We start from the raw sequence: 27860 nt of genomic DNA on the forward strand, positions 1-27860 counted from the left end.
AGTGGTGCTCTAGAAAATGAAGTGCAACAGAATCATCCTTCACTCTGTTAAGGCCCTCCCTTTTGAAGTTTTAGGAGAGTACATAGAAGAAAGCAAAGATTAATGAAATTTATCTCATCTAACTTTAAGGAAAAGTCAGTACAAAGTAAGGAAATTACAATAATCCTTGGATAGGCTGTGCTGAATAAGAACTTATATAATTGTAGTTGTTTGCTGAGGAGTATTTCATCCCTTTATGGTTTTGTGTCTAAATCTTGTAAATGCTTCAACATTAGGAACTGTGCAGAACTCCTGCTTGACCTCATGAGAGGAGAGTTGTTTGTTACCCCAAGAAATAGTCATCATCCACTTCTCAAATGAGAGTCAAGGAAAAGTATTAGTCATTATTACCGCCTCTTATGAAAAGAGCATAACAAGAACTGTGGTAATGGAAGAGGGTGGGCTTTGAGTTTAGTCACAGGAGTTACAGGAGTCTTTTTTTTTAAACTTTAAGAAACTTATTCCATGTAGTATGTCCATATAAGGAGTCTTATGTTTTACAGTAAAAGAAGATCCTGGATCTGTATCAAACCTTACTCACCTTTACAGCACCCGTATGAAGTAAACTGGGCCTAATCCTTACAGTTAACCCAACCCTGTGATTTATTTAGTAATACTAATTTAGGATCATACATACAGTCAAGAGCTTCTGTGAGAGGAAAATTCATTTATCTAAGTTACGAACACATGAATATTGAAGTATTTTAGAGTTCTAAGACAAATAACTTACATATTTGAACCCAAATACTTCAATATGTAAATATTGGTATAACTCTTGCTGTGTGTTTAAGACATTATAATAATATAAATATATTAACATTTCTCCAAAAGTGCCTTGCATAAACCCAGATTCCAAATTGTTCACGTTAGGGCAATAGTTTTCAAACTTTTTGACTATGGCCCATAATAAGAAATACATGTTCTTATCACCACTTATTGTATTACACACCTGAAACTAAACAATACTTATTATCCTTAACATATTCAGTGTACTCTGATCCTAAACTGATCACATGACTTAGTGGATCTCTGGCTTTTGAAAAATACAGCATTATAGGATTTCTATTATTCATAAATCATTTGGAAGGCAGTCTTTTGTATTAGAGAAAAATAATTCTTGATGTACATTCTTTTTAAAAGAGAACTTGAATTCTGACACAAAGCATCTTTAAGTGATAGTTCAAATAGTTTAATTTCTGATTTTAGTATCTATAGTTATTTTTACTATATATATAATAGGCATAGCTTGTCTCACAAGTTTAATTAAAACATTTGGTTTATTCAACTTTTAAAAGTCATTAGGCAATTAAAAATTTTAATGGATATGTCAGAAATTCTCAGTGATTATGTTTGCTTTGCTGAGTATAAAAGAAGTTTTTCTTACATAATAAATATATACTTGCTAACTGATGTTTTAAAGTTTCCATAATGTATACCATGCCAGCCTGTGCTTTCTCACTAAGCAGTGTTTTTACTGAGCCCTGTGAACTCCAGAGATACCTGCAAAAGTATTGTTGGAAGAGTCAAAGGCAGGGAATGGTTTAATATTTAATCCAGTCATTTTCTCATTTGGGAAAAAAGTGAAAGGTTTTTCAAAAGCTAAAACCCCAGAAATAAGCAGAAGTATTTGCCCTATAGCTCTGTCGGTCAGCTCTGTTAACCAACCCTTTTTAAACATAGATACTCTTTAGGATAGCCAAAGTTATCAACCATCCACCTCTTATACTTTCCATTCTGTGCGTCTTTTGAGTATCTCAATGGATAGTGCTTGCCACATATTATTAAATGAATAATAATATGAATGACCCAATCAATACTGTAATATCAATGACATTTGGGAAATGGGAGTGTATGAATCCATTTGCACTACCATAAAGGAATGCCCAAGACTGGGTAATTTATAAAGAAAAGAGGTTTAATTGGCTCATGGTTCTGCAGGGTGTACAGGAAGTGTGGTGCCTGCATCTGCTTCTGGTGAGGGACTCAGGAAGCTTACAATCATGGCAGAAGGTGAAGAGGGAGCAGGCGTGTCACATGGTGAGACAGGGAGCGAGAGAGAGAGACAAAGGGGAAGTCACAGACTCTTAACCAGATCTCATATGAACTAACTCACTTATCACCAAGGGGATGGTACTAACCATTCATGAGGGACCTGCCCCCATTATCTAATTACCTCCTGCCTGGCCTCACCTCCAATATTGGAAATTACGTTTCAACATGAGATTTGGAAGGGACAAACAGCCAAACCACATCAGGGAGTTTTCATTGGACAAATAAGGAAAAATAATATGAGGACAAAAGCAGAGCACAGTATACTGAGGGAGCCCTGGCCTGGTAGGAGAGAAAAGAGGTAAGTAAAGAGTTGCAAAGACAACCTTGTCTACCTTGCTGATTTCTCTGGTATACAGGGAAAATAAGCCATTGAAAACAGTTTGATACAAGTTGCTGTGCTAAGATAGCAGATTTGTTTGAGAGGCTGCGTAGACCACCTCTATTCAGCCTAGTCTCCCCCAGTCTATGTTAAAAGATAAATATGCAGCTAATTTAGTTCAGCCCAGGTTCATACTATAATTTCAGTGGTTACTGCCCTACCCCATTTGGAGGAAGAAAGGATAAGAGAAAAATATGTGTATCTAAGACTTCTCGAGTTTATATAATGAGTCAGTTATGCCCATGTAATAGCTAGGTTGTATACATCAACACGGGAGTGGAACATGTATGCACCAGAATAATGTTTCTCCTTTCAGAGTGAGCTTTCTTGCCTGTTAACAAGTAATGTATTTTTATTGATTCGTGTAAATATCAAGTGTTTAAAATTCATGTCACATACTTCTGAATATGACATATTACTAAATGCTACAGTTACTTTTTGTCAAAATGTTTTTAATAAAAGTGTTAAATAACAAATTTGTGTATTTTTGCTGACTAGTGATGAGATGTAATAGCTTAAAGATGAAATGGAAATAATTTAACAAGTGCAATCTATTTCAGAATTGGGACAGAAAGGAAAATACAGCTCTGCTTTATTAAGTTTCATAAATTTTACAGGATTAAAGATGTTTTCATTTTTTCCCAATAATGAAAAAAAGATTGTTTTCCTCCTGATTGTTATTTATGCACAATAATATTAAAGAGAAATTGGCCTTTAACCCAACACTCTTTAATATAACCATGGAATTTTTTTTTGTTCCCTTCGAGTCCCAATGAATGTGTTTACATAATTTTTCATACTTAAAATCATAGCATGAATATGGTTTTAAAGTATGCATTCTTATTTAACATGGAATAAACAGAATGAGACTTTGCCTCTTTTAAAATTTTAGTTGGAAACTAACTAAAACCCTTCAGTAAAGAGATTTCTTCTTAAAGGCTTAAGACCTCAAGGATTGGGAGCCCAAGGCAGGAAGATTGATTGCAGCAGGAATTTCAAGACCAGCCTGCGTAACATAGTGAGACCTCCCCCCGACCCACTCTCTAAAAACAAAAAGCAAACAAATAAGAACAACCTCAAGGGAAGGGAATAAAAAAGAAAAGCAGGAGAGAGGATTGTACGAGAATATTTTGGGACCTGGGAAGAAAGGCAATAACTTACATAGCAAACCTTTGACATCTGAATCCTGGATAAGAAACCAAGAACTAACCAGTTTGCATTTCACAGTCTTCAAAAGGCTTGGGATTTGATGGCATCAAGATTTCTAGACCCTCTTTCCCCTTTCACACCTTGTGATGACTACCCCTTGCCTATCCAAGGAGAATGCTATGCTTCTTGTCAGGATGGACGAAAAAGAGGGTTTCTTGATGGAGGATATGACACTAAATTGAAGTAAAAGGTACCACAGTACCAATCCATAAACAGATTAAGTGAAATCTGAATGCCGAGAACCACAGTTTTATTGCCCCATTTGTCTCCCAGAACGTAGACTTAAAGTTATTTATATTGAGGGTTCTCTACAAAAGGCCAGCAGATGACCCTATAGGGAATCTTGCAGTCAACAAGACTACTCGTACTCATAGCTCCTAATCAGTTTATTATTATTATTATTTTTAGTTCCTAACTTCATCAATGGCAGACAGCTCAAGAGGTGAGGGCAATCTCTAACATGGAAGATAAATAGAGAAAAGCAACAGTACACTTTTCTTAAGGAGAACAGAAAAGAGCTTGAGCATTAAGAATAATTGCTAAGATGAAAGACAAAAATTGGAGAAATAGTTGTACGAGTAAAGGAAAAAAAAAAGGAGATAGAAAATAAAAGAGAAAATATAAGAAGATCAGACCAAGAGTATTAGAAAAGTTAACAGAGAGGAGGAAATTGCCAAATAAGTATCACAGAACTGAAATACAAAATTTCCTACATTGCAAATATCTGTCAAATAAATGTCCTAAGGAATGAAAATACACCCAGACCATAGCGCATCAATGTGAAATTTTACAATGCTGAGGACAAAGAACATCTTACAAGCTTCTAGAGAGGATGGGGGAAGTAAAGTTGAATACAAAAGATCATGAGTCCGTGGACATATGTCTCAAAACAACATTGGCAGCCAGAAGAAAATGCAATGTTGCCTTCAAAATTTTTAGGGAAGCCAGATCAATTAGGCAAGGAAGAAATAAAGGGTGTCAAAGTTGGAAAGGAAAAAGTCAAATTGTGCCTGCAAACATGATCTTATATCAAGAAAAACCTACAGACTCCACCAAAAACCTCTTAGAACCAAAAAATGAATTCAGTAATGTTGCAGGATACAAAATCAACATGCAAAAATCAGTAGCATTTCTACACACTAACAGTAAACTAGCTGAAAAGGAGATCAAGAAGGCAATCCTATTTACAATAGCTATAAAACATATAGGAATAAACTTAACCAAGGAGGTGAAAGACCTACAAGGAAAACTACAAAACACTGATGAGGGAAACTGAAGAGAATACCAGCAACTAGAAGGACATCCCATGCTTATGGATTGGAAGAGTTAATATTGTTAAAACGGTCATACTATTCAAAGCAATCTGCAGATTCAATGCAATCCCTGTCAAAATACCAATGACTTTTTTTTTGTGGAGATAGAAAAAAGTAGCTTAAAGTTTTCATGGAACCACATGTAAAACCCAAACTATAAAACTAGTAGGCAAAAACAAAAGAGAAATGCTTCAGGACATTGGTCTAAGAAATGTTTATGTATAAGACGTCAGAACACAGGCAACGAAAGCAAAAATAAATAGGATCATATCAAATGAAAAAGCTTTTGCAAAGCACAGAAAACAACAGAGTGAAAAGAGAGGCTACAGAATGGGAGAAAATATTTGCAAATTATTCATCCAACTGGGGATTTATTCCAGAATATCCAAGGAACTCAAACATCTCAACAGCAGGGTCTCACTCTGTCACACAGGCTAGAGTGCAGTGGCCACCTTAGCCTCCCAAGTAGCTGGGACTACAGGCGTGCACCATCATGCCCCATTTGTTTTTGTATTTTTTGTAGAGACAGGGTTTTACCATGCTTCCCAGGCTGGTCTTGAACTCCTGGGCTCAAGCAGTCCACCTGCCTTAGCTTCCCAAAATGCTGGGACTATAGGCGTGAACCACTGTGTCTGCCCCAGTCCCATTTTTAAAATGGGCAAATTATCTAAACAGATACATCTCAAAAGAAGATACAAAAATGGCTAACCAATGTATGATAAAATGTTCAGTATCACTAATCTTCAGGGAAATGCAAATCGAAACCACAATGACATATTATCTCACCCCAGTTAGGATGGCTATTATTAAAAAGACAAAAGTTAACAAATCCTGGTGAGGATGTGGAGAAAAAAGAACTCACACTGGGAGTGTCAACTAGCACAGCCACTAGGGAGGTTCCTCAAAAACCATAAATAGGCCAGATGTGGTGGCTCACACCTGTAATCCCAACACTTTGGGAGGCTGAAGCAGGAGGATCACTTGATGCCAGGAGTTTGAGACCAGCCTGGGTGACATAGGGAAACCATCTCTGCAAAAAATTTAAAAATTAGCCTGGCATGGTGGCACAGGTGTATAGTCCCAGCTACCTGGGAAGCTGGGGTGGGAGGATCGCTTCAGCACAGGATGTTGAGTCAGGTTGCAGTGAGCCATGATCACACCACTGCACTCCAGCTTGGGTGACAGAGCAAGACTCCATCTCAGTTTAAAAAAAAACACAAATAGAACTACTGTATGAGCCAGCTGTCTCCTTACTGGGTATTTATCAAAAGGAAAGGAAGTCAGTATTGAAGAAACATTACACACCCATGTTTACTGCAGCACTGTTCACAATAGATATGGGATCAACCTAGATGCCTAAATACATGAAGAGGTAAAATGTGATGTATATGTATATACACACACACACACAATGGAATACTATTCAGCCACCGAAAAGAATGAAATCCTGTTTTCTTGCAACAACATGGATGGAACTGGAAGACATTATGTTAAGTGAAATAAACCAGGAATAGAAAGTTAAACACTGTATGTTCTCACACATGTGGAAGCTTAAAGTTGATTTTATAGAAGTAAAAAAAAAAAAAAAAAAACGGATACTAGAGGTTGGGAAAGGTAGCAGGAAGAGGGATAATAGGGAAAGATTAGATACAGAAGATACAAAATTACAGCTAGATAGGAGGAGTAAGCTTTAGTGTTCTGTACCATTGTAGGATAACTATCGTTGACAATAATTATTACATAGTTTCAGATAGCTAGGGGGAGGATATTGAATGTTTCCAACACAAAGTACTTGAGATGATGAATAAGCTAATTACCCTGATCTGCTTACTATTCATTATATGTAACACCACAGTGTACCCCATATACAATTATTATTTGTCAAATAATTACACTTTTTTATTTTTTGAGGGAAAATGACTTCCAACATAGAATCCTATACTCTGTCATACTATCAGTTAAGTGTGAGATTATAATAAGGATATTGTCACACATGAACATCTCAGAAAATTTCTTAAATACTTTATCTCTGGAAGCCACTGGAAGTTGGGTTCCACCAAAACAAGGGATTTAAATGAAGAAAAACTACATAGGAGCTGAAAACGAAATCCAACAAGAATCCCAAGTATTACAGTGATGTTATCGTCCCATGTGGCATGCTTTCAAGAAGCAACCAATCCAGGTTGGGTTAGGTCAAAAAACTGGTGGGATGGTGCTTAGGAGAGTTCTTACAGGAAATGAAATTGATTAATATCTAAAGTGAATGCATTAAGATTAGAAAACTGCTGGAGTGTTTGGAGTTGCATTAATAACAAGCACATAGCTAAGCAAATGAGGAAAACATTATTCCAGGAAAAATGAATTAGTGTATTACTGAAACACAACTAGTGATATAAACAAAATTACATATAATTAGAAAGATGATGGAGAGTATGGTGAACACAGGAAAGAAAGAAAACTAGTGTTTCATCTTTCATAGTAGAAATTTGATCAGAAATGCCAAATAAACTAGCAGTACAAATATGTAGTTTAGATAATACGTAAGTAAACAGTATGAATTAGCTAAAAGAGCTTCATGTATTTGTGAGGAAGAAGAAATGGAGGAGAGGAAACTGGAGTCTGCTGATAATATTAGGCTAACTCTTTAAATTCATAGAGTTGTAATAAAAATAAAACCTTAGTAAATGAGGCTTCTTGCCAAAGGCCTGTTGAGGATCCATGGCACTTAATTGATAGATATAATGTCCAAATTATACTTCATGCTGTCTTTTCACTCTGTTCACCTGCAGGTTAAGTACAGATTTTGTTCTATAATTCCTATATTAATAATGGTGCATAATTTCCTTATACTGGCAAACAGAGCCTGAGTTACATAGCAACAGTGATTTGGTTTCCTTTTATTAAGTGTTTGGAGGAAAAGAATGTGGATTGGAAGGAATAGAGTACCAATACTATTATTTTAAAGAAGAGTAAGAACATGTAACTAGATGAATGATGATGTCTATATACTTTACCTATGATTTTATGTTTTTGAAATCCATCTCACTTGGACAATTCTCTGAAGCAGAGGGATAACCAACAAAGTTCCAGGGATAAATCATCTCTACTTACTTTTTATTTATTTTTTTTCTTTTTGGGACAGAGTCTCACTGTGTCACCCAGACTGGAGTGCAGTGGCATGATCTCTGCTCACTGCACCTCTGCCTCTCAGGTTTAAGTGATTGTTGTGCCTCAGCCTCCTGAGTAGCTGGGACTATAGGTGTATGCCATCACGCCCAGCTAATTTTTGTATTTTTAGTAGAGACAGAGTTTTGCCATGTTGGCCAGGCTGGTCTCAAACTCCTGGGCTCAAGGGATCTGCCCACCCCAGACTCCGGAAGTGTTGGGATTGCAGGGATGAGCCACCATGCCCGGCCTCATCTCTAAATGAAACCTCCTTTTTGGGTGGAGTGTGCTGACATTTGCTGAATGTGGTCTCTGAGGGTTTCAGTATCTTATTGGAAAAGACACCCTACCCTTACTTTTTTTCCCCCTTGGCATGTGAAGTAAGAGCTAAAGCCGTAGTTTTTTGTGACATTAAAGAATCATACTTAAAGTCTTGGAGTGGATTTTTGTCATTTTGGAATAGATCCGTTGACAATGTGCACCAAAGCAGTGTAATAAAATGTTGATCAAAACTGTATTTAACCATATTAATGTGTGTCTCTCCTGTTAAATTTGCAAATTTCTTACTTGATAGTAACACAAGAGATTTACCAGAGACTAGCGAGCAGAATGTAACCCTGATAATTCATTTACATGTTCATTTACTCATAAATAACTTCATTTTGGACACCTGCTTTATACCAGGGACTATTCTGTGCACTATGTTTCTGGTGGTTGAAGCAGTATGTACTGCCCCTGCCCTCAAGGAGCTTATAGTTTAGTGTGTAAGATGGACATTTATTTTAAAATAGTTTGCAAATAAACTAACATATAATTACAAGTTATTATAATTGCTAGTATGAGAAAGTAATAGAGTAAGGTAAGGGATTAATTTAAATTAGAAGCATCAACTCTAGGTGGGAAAGAGCATTTTCAGACAATCAGTATTTTCAAAATGTCTACCTCCTACATACACATTATACAGTAGCTTTCTCACGACACTGCTGGAGGATGCTGCCATCAAAACAAAACAAATGAAAGAGAAAAGGCATAGATAACAGGGTATCTAGTACAGGAAGGAGAGATAATGATAAAGATAACCCAGGAGGCCAGCTGTGCTACCAGAGAGACCAGTATATATTAGATTAGGTCAGAATTCACTGAAAGAAACTTGTAGAAAAATTAATAGGATACTTAATGCAACCAAAGACATTGAGAGGAGAATTGGAGAGAAATGGAATGGATTTGGGTTGGATTTTGGAGGTAGATTGACAGACCTTGGTGATTTATTAGATGTGGAAGTTGAGTGATAATAAATGAGCAGTGACTCCTAGATTTCTGCCTGTGCAGATAGACAGAGTGTTCATATACTGAGTTGAGGAACCCTGGAGGAGGAAGATTTCACAGTATGTCAAAAGCCCCTTTTTGGTATTGAGTTTAGAATGCTAGAGAGATACTCAAGTAGAGGTGTCAAATGGGCAGTTAAATAGCCTGATGTCCAGAAGAGGGTTATGAATATTTATGTTGTATAAATATCAACACAGAGATGCTGTTTGGTGCTATGGAAGAGCATTGGATAGCCTCAGGTGAGAATAAGGACTGAGAAGGTAAAGCAAAGGATGAATCCTAAGGAACTAGAATTTATACAGGTCTTGTGGAAAAGGAGGAACAATTATAGGAGATTGCTAAGTGTAGAGGCAGGTAGGCCAAAACTAGTAGATTTAGTAATGCATGTGAGTTGAGAGAGTAGAGGCAGTGTATGTAAGCAATGTTATCAGAAACTTATTTGTAAAAGCAAAAATGAGCTTGAATGGTAGTTGATAGAGGTGGACTAGGGGGAGGATGTTTGTTTTTAATATTGTTTTATGTGAGAAATACCAAAGTATATATAAATGCTGATCAATGGTGAGGCTCTAGGAGAGGTTGGAGATGCTGAGAGGCAGGAATGAATGAAACCCCAATTACTCATGCAGAATTAGTCTTCAATAGTAGATATGTCAGGACCAGTGTAGAAAACATTCCACTTTAATGATACTAAAGATAAGTCACCTTTAATTCATCCATATAAAATATGTTATGAGAAATTTTTCTTTGACTAAAATCCTTAAAACTATGAATTTATGACTTAGTAATTTTGTTGTTGCTGTGGTTACTAGAGAACCTTTTTTTATAGCTCAAATATAATTGGGTCAGAACATTTTCTCTAAAGCCTTAGATATTTTTCCTTTTCAGGGACATTAAAAATGGATTTGATTGTTCCCATATTTGAAGAGTATTTGTATTTATCAGTAATGGTACAAAATAACTAAGTATTGAAAGTATTAGAAAACAGTTTCTGGACTTTATTTGGTTTAAGTTTTTCTTTTTTATTTTACAGAGTCAAGTAAAGAACAGTTTGCCAGTACAAACATTGCTGAAGAGCTAGTAAAACTCTTCAAGAAACAAATAGAACATGATAAGAGAGAAATGATTTTTGAAGTTCTTGCTCCATTGGCAGAAAATGGTGAGAAACTTAAATGCACCTTTGGATTTTTGATCATGTATGCTTTAAACTTTTTTCCTAATATTATTTAATTGCCAGCCATTTGACTCAAAACCATTCTTTATTAGTGATATGTTTTATTTTGCATATCTCTAACTTTAGCTATGTTATCTACTCCATAGCTATATCTACATTGGCCAAAGCAACTTTCCAGGTTCCTTTGATTTTAAAATCTTAGAAAAGATACTTCTGTAGCTAACACATTCTTGTGCCATTCTGGAAAAGGCAGCTGAGAGGCTGAGCTCTACTTCTACACACTTGTAAGGCAAAGGGGATAAAAGTTGGAGTCTCAGGCCTGCCAACAGTGAAGATACTGGTTAATCACTCCCTTCTTTGGGCAGAAAAATCTTAAGAGATGCATCGTAGAAATAAGAATGAATCAGAAGAAACAAACTATTCCATATTAGTAATTTTTCAAATATAATGTCTAACACGTACTCAAAGAGGATCAGATATTAATACATAAGACAAAACACACTGTAAGCAAGAGTAGGCAGCAAATCTTCAGATACTGGAATTATTAGACACTGATTCAAAACAGGTGTGCTTATTGTGTTCAAAGAGGTAAAAGCTAGCTTAAATAATTTAGAAGGAAACTAAAAACTATTTTTAAAAAGTGGCATAGCAGATTTAAGAATGAAATAAATGGAAATTTCTGAATTGAAAAATACAACCAAAATTAAGAATTCAGTGGGTGGTTTAATAGCAGATTTAATAGATACTGTTGAATTAAAGAACCAGTGAACTGGAAAACGGGTTGGAAAGAAATCCAATATGAACTAAAAGGAAAGAAGAACACATTTACATAAAAGAGAATAAGAGGTCAGAGGAAAAAATGAGACATTCTCATATGCATTTTTTGGAGTCCCAAAAGGAGAGTAGAGAAGGTGGGGAGGGGAGTGTGCAGAGGCAATATTTGAAGAAATTTTGGCAGAGAATTTATCAGAAATTATGAAAAATGCAAAGATCCAAGAAGCCCTTTGAACCCAAAATATGATAAACAAAAATCCACATCTAGATGCCTCATACTGAAAATGTAGAAAACCAATGACCAAAATTATTATCTTCAAAGTAACAACAGTTTGGCTGACAGCTACCTTCTCAACAGCAACAATGAAAGCCAGATGTTATAAATGTGGTTTGTCAGAAGGAAAATGATATAGATGCAGGGGAGAATAAAGACCAAAAAAAACGGTAGATATATAGGTAAATCTTATAAACATTGAATATATCAAAAAAATAACTTATTGTGAAGTTTACAATGTACATTTATGTGATTTAAAATATACCACAAACTGAGCTTATAAATAAGAAGAAAGGTAAAAGGAGTTAGAGTCCTAAGACACTTGTGTTATCTGGAAGACTCTGGTTATTTAGTCACTTTTAACTTTTAAGGTGACTACTAAAGTAATTTTTTAAAATGATATATAGCTGCAGAACAAATGGAAGCGACTTATGGAAAGGTTTTTTAATACCCTAGTAATGCAAAACAAGAAAAAAGAGGAAAGAAAAAGGAACACGAATCATAGAGGACAAATGAAGCATAAAAATACAGTTTTAAGACACAGTATTTCAGTAATTACGTTAAATGTGGCCTAAATGCTCTAATTAAAAGACCATTTGTCACTTGTGTTTTAAAATAAATAACTATACTACTTAAGCAATACTTATTAAATATGAGATTTAAAAGATTGAGAATAATAGGGTAGAAAAAATATACCAGTGAAACCTAAGGAAGGCTGGGGTAGTTATATTAATATCAAGTAAAATAGATTTTAAGATGAAAAGACTTGCTAGAGATAAAGAGGGTGACTTTAGTAATAAAAGGTCCAATTTACCTAGAAAAAAAATAACCGTTATACATTATCCCAAAACATACGGAGCAAAAACATTCAGAACTATGAAGAGAAACAGACAAATCCACAAATATTGTGAGAAATTTTAATACCTCTTTCAATAATTTATAGAATAAGATAGAAGAATAAGGTTATAGAAAATTTGAAAATGATTAAGACAATTGATTTAATGGACCTATTTTAGAACACTTCAACTACAGAGCTCTTTCAAGTACATATGAAACATTTAAGAACATGTATACTTGTCATGAAAGAAAGAAATTTCAAAAGATTGCTATCATACAAAGTATTTCTTTGACCTAAGTGAGTTGTCTAGTAACCAATTATAAAAAGAAAACCAGGAAATCGCTGTATGTTTACATGGTAAGAAATATACTTCCAGTACCTCAGAGGTCAAAAAAGAATTGTAATGGAAATTAGAAATTTTTCTAGTAGTGAAAATGAAAATGCTATATCTCAGATCTTACGTGTTACAAGTAAAGACCTATTCAGAGGGAAATTTTTTGCTCTAAATGCTTATATTAGAAAAGGAAAAGAACTAAAATCAATGAGCCCAGTATTCATCTCAGGAATTTAGGGGAAAGAAAATATAAACCCAAAAAACCACAAGGTAATTTTTCAACCCTCACCTTCCAATTTGTGTGAATATGCTCATAGTAGTCTCTGATAATCTTTTGTATTTCTGTGGTAGCAGCTATAATGTCACCTTTATTGTTTCTGATTGTACTTATTTGAATCTTCTCTCTTTTTTTTTGTTAATCTAGCTAGTGGTCTATTAATTTTGTTAATCTGCACTTGTACTCCCTAAATCTACAAAAAAAAATTTTTTAAGTAGTTAACTGGAATAAAATACAACAATGTTAACAAAATCCAAGAGTAATATATATTCTTTTAAAAAGCAGAAGAAAAGATAGGGTATCAACCTAAGTGTCCATCAGTGGATGAGTGGATAAAGAAAATGGGGTGTGTATACACACACACACACACACACACAACATGGAATACTACTCAGCTATAAAAAAGAATGAAATAATGTCTTTTGCAGCAACTTAAATGGAACTAGAGGGCATTAATTCTAAGTGAAGTAACCAAATGCCACCTATTCTCACAAGTGGCAGCTACGCTATGTGTACACAAAGGCATAGAGAGTGGATAGAATGGACTTTGGAGACAGAGGGAGGTAGTGAGATGAGGGGGTGAGGGGTAAAAAACTACTTATTAGGTACAGTGTACACTATTCAGATGACAGATGACCTAAAATCCTAGACTTTGCCACTATACAATTCATCCATGTAACCAAAAACCACTTGTACCACTAAAGCTATTGAAATTTTAAAAAAAATAATAATAAGCAGAAGGAAGGAAATGTAAAGAGCTGAAATAAAATGGAAAACATACAGTGCAACACAAACATATAATTACTACAGTTGAGTCTGAAAAGACAGTGGAATTGGTAAACCCGTAGTGAGATTAATGATGAAAAGAGAGAGAAAGCATAATTAACCAAAATTAAGAATGCAAGAGGAGGAGACCTTACCGCAGGTCTTACAGCTATTAAGAGGATATTATGAACAATTTGATGCCCATATATTTTATATATATATATATTTTTTTTTTTCCCTCCCCCGCAAGATGGAGTCTCACTCTGTCACCCAGGCTGGAGTGCAGTGGCACCATCTCGGCTCACTGCAGCCTCCACCTGGGATGCAGCCTCCATCTCCGAGGTTCAAGCAATTCTCCTGCCTCGGCTTCTCAAGTAGGTGGGATTACAGGCGCCTCCTACCACGCCTGGCTAATTTTTTTATTTTTATTTTTAGTAGACACGGGGTTTCACCATGTTGCCCAGGCTGATCTCAAACTCCTGACCTCAGGTGATCCACCTGCCTTGGCCTCCCAAAATACTGGGATTACAGGCATGAGCCACCGTGCCTGGCCTGATGCCAATATATTTTAAAGTATGACTGATACAAGAATAGAAAAGCTGAGTAATCTTACCTTAAGAATTCTTCCAGAGAATAGGAAAAGGAAATATACTTACCAATTTATTTTAATGAGGCTAATGAAACCTTTATACCAAATCCCAACAAAGACAATACATGAATGAAAATTAAAGGCTAGTCTCACCATGAACATAGATCCAAAATTCCTCCTAAAATTTTAGCAAATTTACTCTAGTAATATATTAAAAAAATTAATCACACCAAATTGCATTTATTCTGAAAGTGTAACACAATTTAATATTTGAAATGCAACTAGTATAATTCATCACCTTAAAATATTTAAGGGGAGAAACCATGATCTTCTCAGATTTTAAAAAAAGCTTTTCATAAAATTAAGTGTTCATTCATTATTTTTAAAAACTTAGGAAAACAGGACTAGGAAGGTCTTCAATCTGAAAAAGATATCTATGAGAAGGCTGAAGAAAACATCACAATCAATGGTGAAATAAAAAAGCATTTGCTTTGAGATTGGGACAAGAAGGATCATCCCCGCTTCCATTTAACATTGTATTGTAAGAAGTATCCAGTGCATTAAAGAGAATAAAAGAAAAAAAATTAAGATAAAGCAATAAAACTCTCATTCATTTATGATGTGATTATGCATATTTAATTCAAAAGAATCTATAGATCAGTTTTATAGATCTTTTTTTAAATCAGAATTTTGTTAGGTTACTGCCAAAAAACAAACAAGAATTTCTATATACCAAAAAAGAAAAAACAGAAAATAAAATGTGAAAAATACGTTGGATAGCCCTTTTAGCTGGAACTGCCACCTTCCAGTAATTTAACAAAATAATGAACACAAAGGGAAAGAGAAGCATCTGATATGTATTCTGTAGGCCTTTTAGAAAATACGGAGTTGTTCCTTTAGCCACATACATTCAAATCTACAGGAAAGGTGATATTGTAGACATCAGAGGAATGCATCCTGTTCAAAAAGGGAATGCCCCACAAATTTTACCATGGAAAACCAAGAGTCTATGGTGTTACCCGGCATGGTACTAGTGTTGTTGTAAACAAACAAGGGCAAGATTGTTGCCAAAATAATTAATGTGTATAATGAGCATATTAAGCACTCAAGAGCCAAGATACCTCCCCGAAACACATGAAGGAAAGATAGGAAAAGAAAAAGAAGGGAGCCAAAGAGAAATGTACCTGAGTTCAACTGAAGCAACAGTCTGTTCCACCTAGAGAAGCGCACTTTGTGAGAACAAACGGAAGGGGCCTGAGCTGCTGGAACCTCTTCCCTATGAATTCATGGCATAATAGGTGTTTTCAAGATAAAAGGCTTCTAGACTATTAAAAAGTATATAAAAAATTAATTCCAGATAGATTGACCTAAATGTGAAAGTTAAAACTTCAGAGGGTTTATCTTAAAATGTAAGCTAGGAGAATATCATCATGGCCTTGAAATACTTTTCTTAGATCACAAAAAGCTCTAATCATAAAGGAAAAAATTGAGACATTGGTTACTTTAAAAGTAAAACTTCTGGCTAGCCTGGTGGCTCATGACTGCAATCCTAATGGCTTTGGGAGGGCAAGACGAGGATCACTTGAGACCAGGAGTTCGAGACCAGCCTGAGCAACATAGTGAGGCCTCATCTCTACCAAAAACAAATAAATAAAAGTTAAAACTCTTTTTTTAAAGACACCGTTAAGAGTGAAAAGCAAGACTGGATGAGAGAATATAATTATAACATATAACTGACAGAGGGCTTGTGTATACAGTGTATAAAAACTCTTAAAAATCATTAAGAAAAATGTGAAAAACATTTTAATAAGCACTTGACAAAAGATTTATATTAAGTCCAACAGACTTAATATAGATATGAAAATGTTCACTCTTAGGTAACACAAAATAAAACCACAATAAAATACCACTATACACCCACTGGAAAGTCTCATAAACCAACTGTTGATGAGGGTGTGGAACAGTGGGAGTGTAAATTGGTACAATTGGGAAGTAGTATCTATTGAAGTTGAAGCAATAGATCCAACAATTCTGCTCTTAGAAATATACCCAGAAGCTTGTGCACATGTATACCAGGAACTGTTACAGGAATGTTCAAAGCAGCATTATTTATAATGAAAAATTGGAAACAACCAAAATCCATTAACAGTAGAATGAATAAATCATAGGATATTAATATAATGGAAAAATATAGAGTTATGAAAAGGAATGAAGACAGCTGTAACCATTACTGTGGATGAATCTCATAATGTTGAAAGGAAAAAGCCAACACTGAAAAATACATATTGTATGATTCAATTTATATAAAGTTAAAAACAAAAAGTAAAACTAAACTGTAGTTTTTAGGAATGATTATTTACTTGGTAAAATGATGAAAGTATAGAAGTGATTACCATAATAACCAGGATGATTTGAGACAAATGAAGGAAGGGGTTTGTTATCAGAAACAGAAATGCAGAGATAGGCTTCCTGAGTTGTTGGCAATGAATTTCTTGATCTAGGTGATAGATACATGGTTATTTGCTTTCTAATAATATATTAAACTTAACTTGGATATTTTATGCACTTCTCTGCATTTGTGGTTTTCTTTCACTCTTTAAAAAAAGTTTTAAAATACCTATATATGATGCATACATGATACATACAAGTGTACATTCATACATATGTGTGTAAACAGTGGTGATAAAGATACTTGTCCTTGGACAGAATGGTTTTGGTAAATGTGCTGGGCTGTCTGCTTTGGCAGAATGTCTTGCTAATCCTAATTAAGGTAGTTTAAGCCTCCTATATATTTGTTTTCAGGTATTTGATTTCAGTCAAATTGTGAGAAGAGATTATCTGTAAACTTTAACATTGAGACATTTAGGCTGGGAGTGATGGCTTACGCCTGTAATTCCAGCACTTTCAGAGGCCAAGGCAGAAGGATTGCTTGAGCCAGGAGTTCAAGACCAACCTGGGCAACACAGCAAGACCCTGTCTCAAAAAAAAAAATTAATTAAAATTTTAAAACTACAATATTGACACATTTAAAATTTCTTAAATGTCTTAGGTCCTATTTCTTAGGGAGAAATTTGTTTTTTATCTCATTGGTGTTTTGGCAAAGTAAAAATTTTACTGTGACCTTCAGTCAATTTTAGGCCATAAAATAACCTATAACTTTCCTTGCAGTATTTCAAAATAACAATGTGTTGATATTTATTACTGTTTTCCCCTCTGCCTTCACATCTGTTTTATAATTGCACAATGGATAGGATGATACCATTGAAGGCTTGTTTTTGGACTAATTCTTTGCATGTATCATCCTTCATTTTCCCAGTACACGAAGGAGAGTGATTTCAGCATTAGAAGTTGGGATTTGTATAGTTCAAGGATTTTAGTATTTTTAAGGCTTTTTCATCATAGTTTTTAATTCTAGTCACCACACATCTCTAGCCCTAGCATTCTGTAACCAAGGAAACGCCCTACTTTTAGCATGGCACAGTACAAGTGTACCTTTTAAAGAAATATTCCAGGTTGAATACTCTGTGTATTCTGAGATAATATTCAAAAGAAGATCAGTGATCCTAGTGATTCAAAAAAGCCAAATTTTAACACATTAAAATTGCCTGAAAGTCTTAAGTATTTATTTTTAAAAGTCTTTATTTTTCCTAAATGATAAGCTGAAGCTGCCATTGCCATATATGGATGCATATACAGCTTAGGGAAACCAATGACTAAAATAAAATCCAACTGAAAAAATAAAGTTTAAATTTAAAAATTTCTGGCCAGGTACAGTGGCTCATGCCTGTAATCCTAGCACTTTGGGAGGCCAAGGCAGGAAGATTGCTTGAGGCCATGAGTTCAAGACCAGCCTAGGCAACATAGTGAGACCCTGTCTCTACAAAAAAAGTTTAAAAATTAGCCAGGCATGGTGGCATGCACTTTTAGTCCCAGCTACTCAGGAGGCTGAGATAGGAGGATTGCTTGAGCCCAGGAGTTCAAGGATGCAGTGAGCTATGATCATACCACTGCGCTCCAGCCTGGGCAACGGAGCGAGACACTGTCTCTTAAACAAAAAATCTGTGTTGCAAATGTATTTTTCAGGTGAGTTGACTAGCATTTATCTTAAGGAGTATCAACTACACTCAAAGCATTTAGATAGGCCAGTTTAGGTTAAGATACAAAGATGAGTAAGGTGTATCTATTGGGGGAACCAGCCCCCAATATTTCAATGTATGTTCTATTTTCCCTAAATGTCGGCCCATCTGAGAAATAGAGAAAGAGTACAAAAAGAGGAATTCTACAGCTGGGCCTCCAGGGGTGACATCACATATCGGTAGGTCCGTGATGTCCCCTGAGCCACAAAACCAGGAAGTTTTTATTAGGGATTTCAAAAGGGGAGGGAGTGTACAGGGAGTAGGTCACAAAGATCACGTGCTTTACAGGGCAATAAAGATCACAAGGCAAGGGCAAAGCAAAGATCACAAGGCAAAGGGCAAAATTAGAATTACTGATGAGGGTCTATGTTTGGCTGTGCACGTATTATCTTGATAAACACCTTAAACAACAGAAAACAGCGTTCGAGAGCAGAGAACCGGTCTGACCTCAAACTTACCAGGGCGGGATCTTTTCCGCACCCTAATAAGCCTGAGGGTACTGCAGGAGACCAGGGCGTATTTCAGTCCTTATCTCAACCGCATAAGACAGATACTCCCAGAGCGGCCATTTATAGACCTCCCCCCAGGAATGCAATTCCTTCCCCAGGGTATTACTATTTTTTTTTTTATTATACTTTAAGTTTTAGGGTACATGTACACATTGTGCAGGTTAGTTACATATGTATACATGTGCCATGCTGGTGCGCTGCACCCACTAACTCGTCATCTAGCATTAGGTATATCTCCCAATGCTATCCCTCCCCGCTCCCCCCACCCCACCACAGTCCCCAGAGTGTGATATTCCCCTTCCAGTGTCCATGTGATCTCATCGTTCAATTCCCACCTATGAGTGAGAATATGCAGTGTTTGGTTTTTGTTCTTGCGATAGTTTACTGAGAATGATGATTTCCAATTTCATCCATGTCACTACAAAGGACATGAACTCATCATTTTTTATGGCTGCATAGTATTCCATGGTGTATATGTGCCACATTTTCTTAATCCAGTCTATCATTGTTGGACATTTGGGTTGGTTCCAAGTCTTTGCTATTGTGAATAATGCCGCAATAAACATACATGTGCATGTGTCTTTATAGCAGCATGATTTATAGTCATTTGGGTATATACCCAGTAATGGGATGGCTGGGTCAAATGGAATTTCTAGTTCTAGATCCCTGAGGAATCGCCACACTGACTTCCACAATGGTGGAACTAGTTTACAGTCCCACCAACAGTGTAAAAGTGTTCCTATTTCTCCACATCCTCTCCAGCACCTGTTGTTTCCTGACTTTTTAATGATTGCCATTCTAACTGGTGTGAGATGGTATCTCATGTGGTTTTGATTTGCATTTCTCTGATGGCCAGTGATGATGAGCATTTTTTCATGTGTTTTTTGGCTGCATAAATGTCTTCTTTTGAGAAGTGTGTGTTCATGTCCTTCGCCCACTTTTTGATGGGGTTGTTTTTTTCTTGTAAATTTGTTTGAGTTCATTGTAGATTCTGGATATTAGCCCTTTGTCAGATGAGTAGGTTGCGAAAATTTTCTCCCATTTTGTAGGTTGCCTGTTCACTCTGATGGTAGTTTCTTTTGCTGTGCAGAAGCTCTTTAGTTTAATTAGATCCCATTTGTCAATTTTGTCTTTTGTTGCCATTGCTTTTGGTGTTTTGGACATGAAGTCCTTGCCCATGCCTATGTCCTGAATGGTAATGCCTAGGTTTTCTTCTAGGGTTTTTATGGTTTTAGGTCTAACATTTAAATCTTTAATCCATCTTGAATTGATTTTTGTCTAAGGTGTAAGGAAGGGATCCAGTTTCAGCTTTCTACATATGGCTAGCCAGTTTTCCCAGCACCATTTATTAAGTAGGGAATCCTTTCCCCATTGCTTGTTTTTCTCAGGTTTGTCAAAGATCAGATAGTTGTAGATATGCGGCATTATTTCTGAGGGCTCTGTTCTGTTCCAATGATCTATATCTCTGTTTTGGTACCAGTACCATGCTGTTTTGGTTACTGTAGCCTTGTAGTATAGTTTGAAGTCAGGTAGTGTGATGCCTCCAGCTTTGTTCTTTTGGCTTAGGATTGACTTGGCGATGCGGGCTCTTTCTTGGTTCCATATGAACTTTAAAGTAGTTTTTTCCAATTCTGTGAAGAAAGTCATTGGTAGCTTTATGGGGATGGCATTGAATCTGTAAATTACCTTGGGTAGTATGGCCATTTTCACGATATTGATTCTTCCTACCCATGAGCATGGAATGTTCTTCCATTTGTTTGTATCCTCTTTTATTTCCTTGAGCAGTGGTTTGTAGTTCTCCTTGAAGAGGTCCTTCACATCCCTTGTAAGTTGGATTCCTAGGTATTTTATTCTCTTTGAAGCAATTGTGAATAGGAATTCACTCATGATTTGGCTCTCTGTTTGTCTGTTGTTGGTGTATAAGAATGCTTGTGATTTTTGTACATTGATTTTGTATTCCCCAGGGTATTATTAATATTCCTTGCTGAGAAAAGAATTCAGTGATATCTCTCCTACTTGCACATCCGTTTATAGGCTCTCTGCAAGAAGAAGAATATGGCTCTATTCTGCCTGACCCTGCAGGCAGTCAGACCTTTGGTTGTCTTCTCTTGTTCTGTAAAATCACTGTTATTCTGTTTGTTTTCAAGGTGCACTGATTTCATATTGTTCAAACACCCATGTTTTACAATCAGACTTCATATTTTTCAAGCACACATGTTCTACAATCAGTTTGTACAATAGTGATCCTGAGGTGATGTACATTCTCAGCTTACAAAGATAACAGGATTAAGAGATTAAAGTAAAGACAGGCATAAGAAATTATGAGTATTATTTGGGAACTGATAAATGTCCATGAAATCTTCACAATTTATGTTTTTCTGCCACGGTGCCAGCCAGTCCCACCATTTGGGGTCCCTGACTTCCCACAACATATATCTGCTCAGGAGATAGATGGAGACAGATATGGAGGCAAATATAAGCTCTTCAGTGAAATAAGTGTTATAATGAAAGAATACTTAAAGATATTAGAAGTATAATAAAAAGTGTTGATGTGGGGGTGGAGTTTCCTATGAAGATCAGTTTTAAAAATGTAATTGGGATGTAAATTCTGTCTCTAAAATACCTTATGTTATGTTTAGCCATCAGAAAGGTTCAAGGTTATTTTTTTCTTTTAACTTTTATTATGAACATTTTGAAATGTATTCAGAAATAGCATTTAGTAAACCACCATGTACCCATCACTCAAGAAAGCTTTAAATCAATGAAAACCTGAAGCCCTTTTTAAAAACACGACTTTATTTATTTATTTATTTAATTTTTATAGACAGGGTCTCACTCTGTTGCCCAGACTGGAGTGCAGTGGCACAGTCATAGCTTACTGTAACCTTGAACTCCTGGCCTCAAGCAATCTTCCTGCCTTGGCCTCCCAAAGCACTGGGATTACAAGTGTAAGCCACCATGCCCAGCCCTATTTTATAGTATTTTATAGCTTGCCCTTTAAACATGAGCATGATATCTAGAGTAATAGTGGAGTGATACTAGTTGCTTTCAGAGCTGAGTATCAATTTGTTTAGATGCTGCAAGACATCCTGAAAAATTTGGCAATTTCAAATGGAAATATGAAATAAAGCTTTTTTGTATATTTAAATGAACTGTCAAGATAGTTTACTTTGAAGATTTGAGTTTCAAAAATGTATTATCTAAATCATGCATTTTCTTAGTTTTTTTTTTTTTTTTTTTTTTTTTTTTTTGAGACAGAGTCTCGCTCTATTGCCCAGGCTGGAGTGCAGTGTTGCAATCTTGGCTCACTGCAAGTTCCGCCTCCCAGGTTCACGCCATTCTCCTGCCTCAGCCTCCTGAGTAGCTGTGACTACAGGCGCCTGCCACTGCACCTGGCTAATTTTTTTTTGTATTTTTTAGTAGAGACGGGGTTTCATGGTGTTAGCCAGGATGGTCTCGATCTCCTGACCTTGTGATCCGCCCATCTCGGCCTCCCAAAGTGCTGGGATTACAGGCGTGAGCCACCGCACCTGGCCCTCTTAGTTTCTTATAATTCTTTATAATGGACTGCTTATACCAGAGCTCCTATTTTATCTCAAAGTTTGATTATTTTGTTCACGTTGTTCTTTAGATGCTATTAAACTACAGCTGGTTGAAGCAGGCCTAGTAGAGTGTCTACTAGAGATTGTTCAGCAAAAAGTGGATAGTGACAAAGAAGATGATATTACTGAGCTCAAAACTGGTTCAGATCTCATGGTTTTATTACTTCTTGGAGGTGAGTTGTAATTTATGCCAGCCAAAGAATGTGGTTGTCAGATGTTTTTAAAATTTATTGTCTCTTCTGTAAATACTACCCTAGACATTTTCTCATATTCCTATCTCACCTGCTATTGAGGTGATGATTTTGACATCTTAAACATGCCATTGATACAACCAGACATAATGAACCTGAAAAAGAAGTGTCTTCACTATCTTCCAGTATTTGAAGAGCTGTCACATAGAAGAGATAGCTTTGGCACCAAGGGACTAAAGAAAAGCTAGATGGCTCCCTGGGACTTGGACTAGAAAAAATGCTAGACTCTATTGTCTAGTATCTATTAAATGTTTATTATAAAAAGAATCATTACTTTTCCCATTATGAATGTAACAGTTTGTGAGGTGTGAGTTTCCAGTTGGATATTCACCTAAGAATGTGAATTTGTTACTCCTAGTTATTTTTCTCTTGCTTAACTATTCGTTTCATTTACCTCCAGATGAATCCATGCAGAAGTTATTTGAAGGAGGAAAAGGTAGTGTATTTCAAAGGGTACTCTCTTGGATCCCATCAAATAACCACCAGCTACAGCTTGCTGGAGCATTGGCAATTGCAAATTTTGCCAGAAATGGTAAGCATATTAGTTCCTCCTTTGTTAGTCAAATACTCTATATTTGTTTATTTTTGCTTTGCTACCACATATACTAAAACTGGAACAGTTTAGAAGTTGTGTAATATGTGTATATGCTGCTAACTTAATTTTTCAGAAATCTGAAATACTTAGTGACATTCCTAACAAATTACATATTTTATGCAATTCAACTAAATTCTAATAGTTTAAATATCATGAAGTGCTTCTTTTGAATACTTGGCACTTCAGAGCTTAGTAAGTTTGAATCCCATTCTAGTATACATCTGCTTTCTTTTGCCTAGTGATTTTATTTTGGATCTAATTATCTGAGTATTCATTCTAGGATTATTGTGCCTCAACTTATATACTTTTATGCCCATAAAACTTAAGTATGAATAATCCCCTGGCATCGTGTAGAATGTTTAATTTAGTTTAATAATGTTTCAGGGGGCGCCAGACTTCTATGTTTATGAAATCTGGCACTACCAAAAAACTCAAATACAGTCTAGAAACTCATTCTTACGTTCCTCATGAAATATACCGTGTCTAGGAAATACAGTTTATTTTTCTTTTTAGTTTAATCATCTTCCAGTACAAACTGTTGGTATATATTATATCATAATGGCTTACTTGCTCCATTTTTACTCCTTCTTTTTGGGAGTGACTTCCTAATTATGGAGGTAAGAGTGGCATAATATGGATAATTATTGAAACTAGATATGGGGTAAATAGTGGTTCATTATAATATTCTCTCCGCTTTGTAAGTGTTTGAAAAATAATTTAGGTATCAGCCATGATAGCAAAAGGTAGAGTACTATCACTGTAACATTGGGAGAACACAAGCATACATCACAATAAATGAAAAATATTGGACATTCTAACCATGTGTTTCTACTTCTGATATATTATCTGGCTCTAAACTAAAGATTTTTCTGGTAATTTTCTGATTTTAAAACTTTTATCTAGTTTAAGAATTTTTTTTAACACTTCTCACTCAGTAAACAGAAAAACCTATAAATCTGATGGGAGAAAGATTTGGAATTCATTTTATTGTATAGCTCCATTTTCCCTAATGTAGATAATAGCCAGACATCAGTATTATAAAGTATTTATAGATATTTTAAAGAGGAAGAAAAAGATGTGTGTTTTTTTTTTCAGATGCAAATTGTATTCATATGGTAGACAATGGGATTGTAGAAAAACTTATGGATTTACTGGACAGACATGTAGAAGATGGAAATGTAACAGTACAGCATGCAGCACTAAGTGCCCTCAGAAACCTGGCCATTCCAGGTAAGACTTAAGAATAGAAGGCAGCTGTGTACAAAATAAAATCCATCATTTGGGGAAGCTATTAACTGTATGTGATTTGTGAACCTGCTCTGATGAAGAAAATTTAAAAAAAAATAGTCTTCACATTGTTCACATTTTTTCATGCTAATAAATGGAGATCATATGTTAAATAAGTTTTGTGAGACTGTACAAGAATAATCTTTGCCTTCATTCAGATATCCTGTTACCTTTTGCGAACTGTTAGATTTTCATCATGTTTTATAGTTAAGCTTTTTTAAGTTTGAGATGGGGTCTCACTCTGTCAGCCAGGCTAGAGTGCAGTGACGCAGTCCTGGCTCACCACAGCCTCTACCTTCTGAGCTCAAGTTATCCTCCCACCTCAGCCTCCTGAGGAACAGGGACTACAGGCATGTGCCACCATGCCCAGCTGATTTTTTTTTTTTGTAGAAACAGGATCTCACTATGTTGCCTAGGCTGGTCTTGAACTCCTGGGCTCAAGCAGTCCACCCACCTTTGCCTCCTAAAGTGCTGGGATTACAGGTGAGAGCTACTGCACCAGGCCTTAGGCATCTTTAGTTGAGGTAGAATAATGACATCAATTAACAGAGTCCACTCAAGAATGACTTTCAGTTGTTGTTTTTCTATAAGCAGATGTACAATTTTTTTAAAATAGCCTTAATGTGCCTTTGGAAGTCATGAAATCACTGTATTATGGAAAATACAACAAAAGATAGTTAAAACTATTCTTTTATCCTACTTTCTAAAAATAAATTTCTGATTAGATGAAATAGTACAATTACATGATGATCCAATCCATTTGAATTCATTTGGTTTACATAGGATAGTAACATTTATTAATGTCTATAACATTTATATTAACACAGTTGGATCAAAAACGGAATTGTGCTTTTTGTTGTAAGAGGGTAACATTTTCAGATTTCCTTTACAAACTATGTAAGTAAGTGTTTTGGATTGGATCTAAAAAGCCATGATACTGTCATAAAAATTATTATATTGTCTGTTATCCGCTTATACACAAATAGGATACGGACACACACATAAACAACTGAATTCCATTCTTAAAATTGACAAAAAAGTGACAAGATTGTTTCTAAATGGAAAAATAAAACATGGATCTTAAAGATACTTAATAAACCTGTATTGAATTGAATGTTTATCAACAGGAATGCTAATACCATTTTAACCATAGTCTCTCTTTTTCTCCAGTTATAAATAAAGCAAAGATGTTATCAGCTGGGGTCACAGAGGCAGTTTTGAAATTTCTTAAATCTGAAATGCCTCCTGTTCAGTTCAAACTTCTGGGAACATTAAGAATGTTAATAGATGCACAAGGTAAAAGAAATGTTTTCCCCAACTTGCATTTTTCATATGATAGTCTTAATGTGCCTCTAGTTGAAAAAGGACTTGTTTTTAGCTTTTAGGATTATGTAATCATAAAAAATAGCAAATAAAAGATTTAAAAGTTGGTTTTGGAACTCCATTTGTTAATTTTTATGCTTGTTATAATTATTTATTTATACATATTATTTATTTATTTATTTATTTATTTATTTGTTTATTTATTTATTTTTGAGACAGAGTCTTGTTCTGTCACCCAGGCTGGAGTGCAGTGGTGCGACCTCAGCTCACCGCAACTTCCGCCTCCTGGGTTCAAGCAATTTTCCTGCCTCAGCCTCCTGAGTAGCTAGGATTACAGGCATGCTCCACAACTCCTGGCTAATTGTTTTGGAATTTCACTAGACATGGGGCTTGTTGCTCAGGCTGCTCTTGAACTCCTGGCCTCAAGCGATCCACCCACTTCAGCCTCCCAAAGTGCTGGGATTACAGGTGTGAGCCACCATGTCCAGCCTATAATTGACTTTAAATAGAAATTATACCATATCTCTCCTTATTAGTACTTATAGTCCTGGTTTTAGGTTGCTTTATTCATCAGTTTCGGCAGGGGGTGTTGTGTTTTGGCATTCTATACCCATTTTTACCTTGGCTTTGAAATCAAATTTCATTATTGTGACAGTCAAAAATTTTTTAAATTTGTCTTCCAGACAGGGAGAGCATTTTTCTGTTTGCAGAAACAGCAGTCAGAACCACTCCTAGGAATGAATTATGTTTATTTACTTATTTCTAAATTTTAAACCCTTTTCTATATTGATTGCATAGAGTCTTTCTAAGAACCCTGCATTATAGTCCGCCAGAGCACTAACAGACTAGCAGGCTTAACCAAAAGAGTATGAAGTCATTTGTTGTTGTATTTTCTATAAAATTTCACAGTGTTACAGAAGAAGGCAAATAGCCCATCACATAAGGAATATTTGCAGTTCTAGCTTTAATGAAATTGTCGTGCTGTGTTTTTTTAGACGTCCTTCACACTCTCAAATCTGTACGAATTATTTCAACTGATTGTCTGTTAGTGATTCATTCCTTGGTTTGCCTTCTTTCCTATAGCAGAAGCTGCTGAACAATTGGGAAAGAATGTTAAGTTAGTGGAGCGTTTGGTGGAATGGTGTGAAGCCAAAGATCATGCTGGTGTGATGGGGGAGTCAAACAGACTGCTGTCTGCCCTTATACGACACAGTAAATCAAAAGTAAGTTCCAGAGGAAACTGTTCACTAGAAAACTTCAGAGTGTCTTTTTCAGAAACCCAGCATTGTAGGTCCTAACAACTGGGATAATATTTACCTGAAAGTATTGTGAAGATTCAGTGAGATCATGTATATAATGTGCTTAGCTGATACATGGGATATAGGAAACACTCGGTAAATGGGGGTTGCTGTTGTTGCTGCTGCTATTGTTGTTATTACTTTTACCACCACCGTTATCAGCATCAGTGTCAAACATTCTTTGTGCCAGGCATTGACCATGCAGCCTACTGATATTTAGAAATTAAATGGTACCTAGATAGTATATGATGTCCAGAGCTCACAGAGTTAGAAAAAAATCCATTCTTGTGGCTGGCTGTGCCGCTGTCTGGCACATGGTAGATAACCAATAAATGAACAAATGAGCTATTTTAA

The 27860-nt window shown here is 35.7% G+C and overlaps 1 protein-coding gene and 1 pseudogene across 12 annotated transcripts in view; both read left to right on the top strand.

The window, feature by feature from the left end:
* RAP1GDS1 (Rap1 GTPase-GDP dissociation stimulator 1) overlaps positions 1-27860 on the top strand; it is a 182475-nt gene that overhangs the window by 132580 nt on the left and 22035 nt on the right. For 8 of the 12 annotated variants that reach the window (NM_001100426.2, NM_001100428.2, NM_001100430.2 and 5 more), the window contains 6 exons: positions 10514-10639; positions 22782-22925; positions 23404-23535; positions 24694-24828; positions 26056-26181; positions 27292-27431. In NM_001100426.2, coding sequence (NP_001093896.1) covers positions 10514-10639; positions 22782-22925; positions 23404-23535; positions 24694-24828; positions 26056-26181; positions 27292-27431 — 803 coding nt within the window. The remainder of the gene's footprint in view (positions 1-10513; positions 10640-22781; positions 22926-23403; positions 23536-24693; positions 24829-26055; positions 26182-27291; positions 27432-27860) is intronic. The other 4 variants (NM_021159.5, XM_024454165.2, XM_024454164.2 and 1 more) reach the window with 1 other exon arrangement.
* Positions 15287-15833, top strand: RPL21P48 (ribosomal protein L21 pseudogene 48; annotated as a pseudogene).

Source organism: Homo sapiens, chromosome 4 (genome assembly GCF_000001405.40).
Source record: "Homo sapiens chromosome 4, GRCh38.p14 Primary Assembly".
In the NCBI taxonomy this organism is placed as follows: Eukaryota; Metazoa; Chordata; class Mammalia; order Primates; family Hominidae; genus Homo; species Homo sapiens.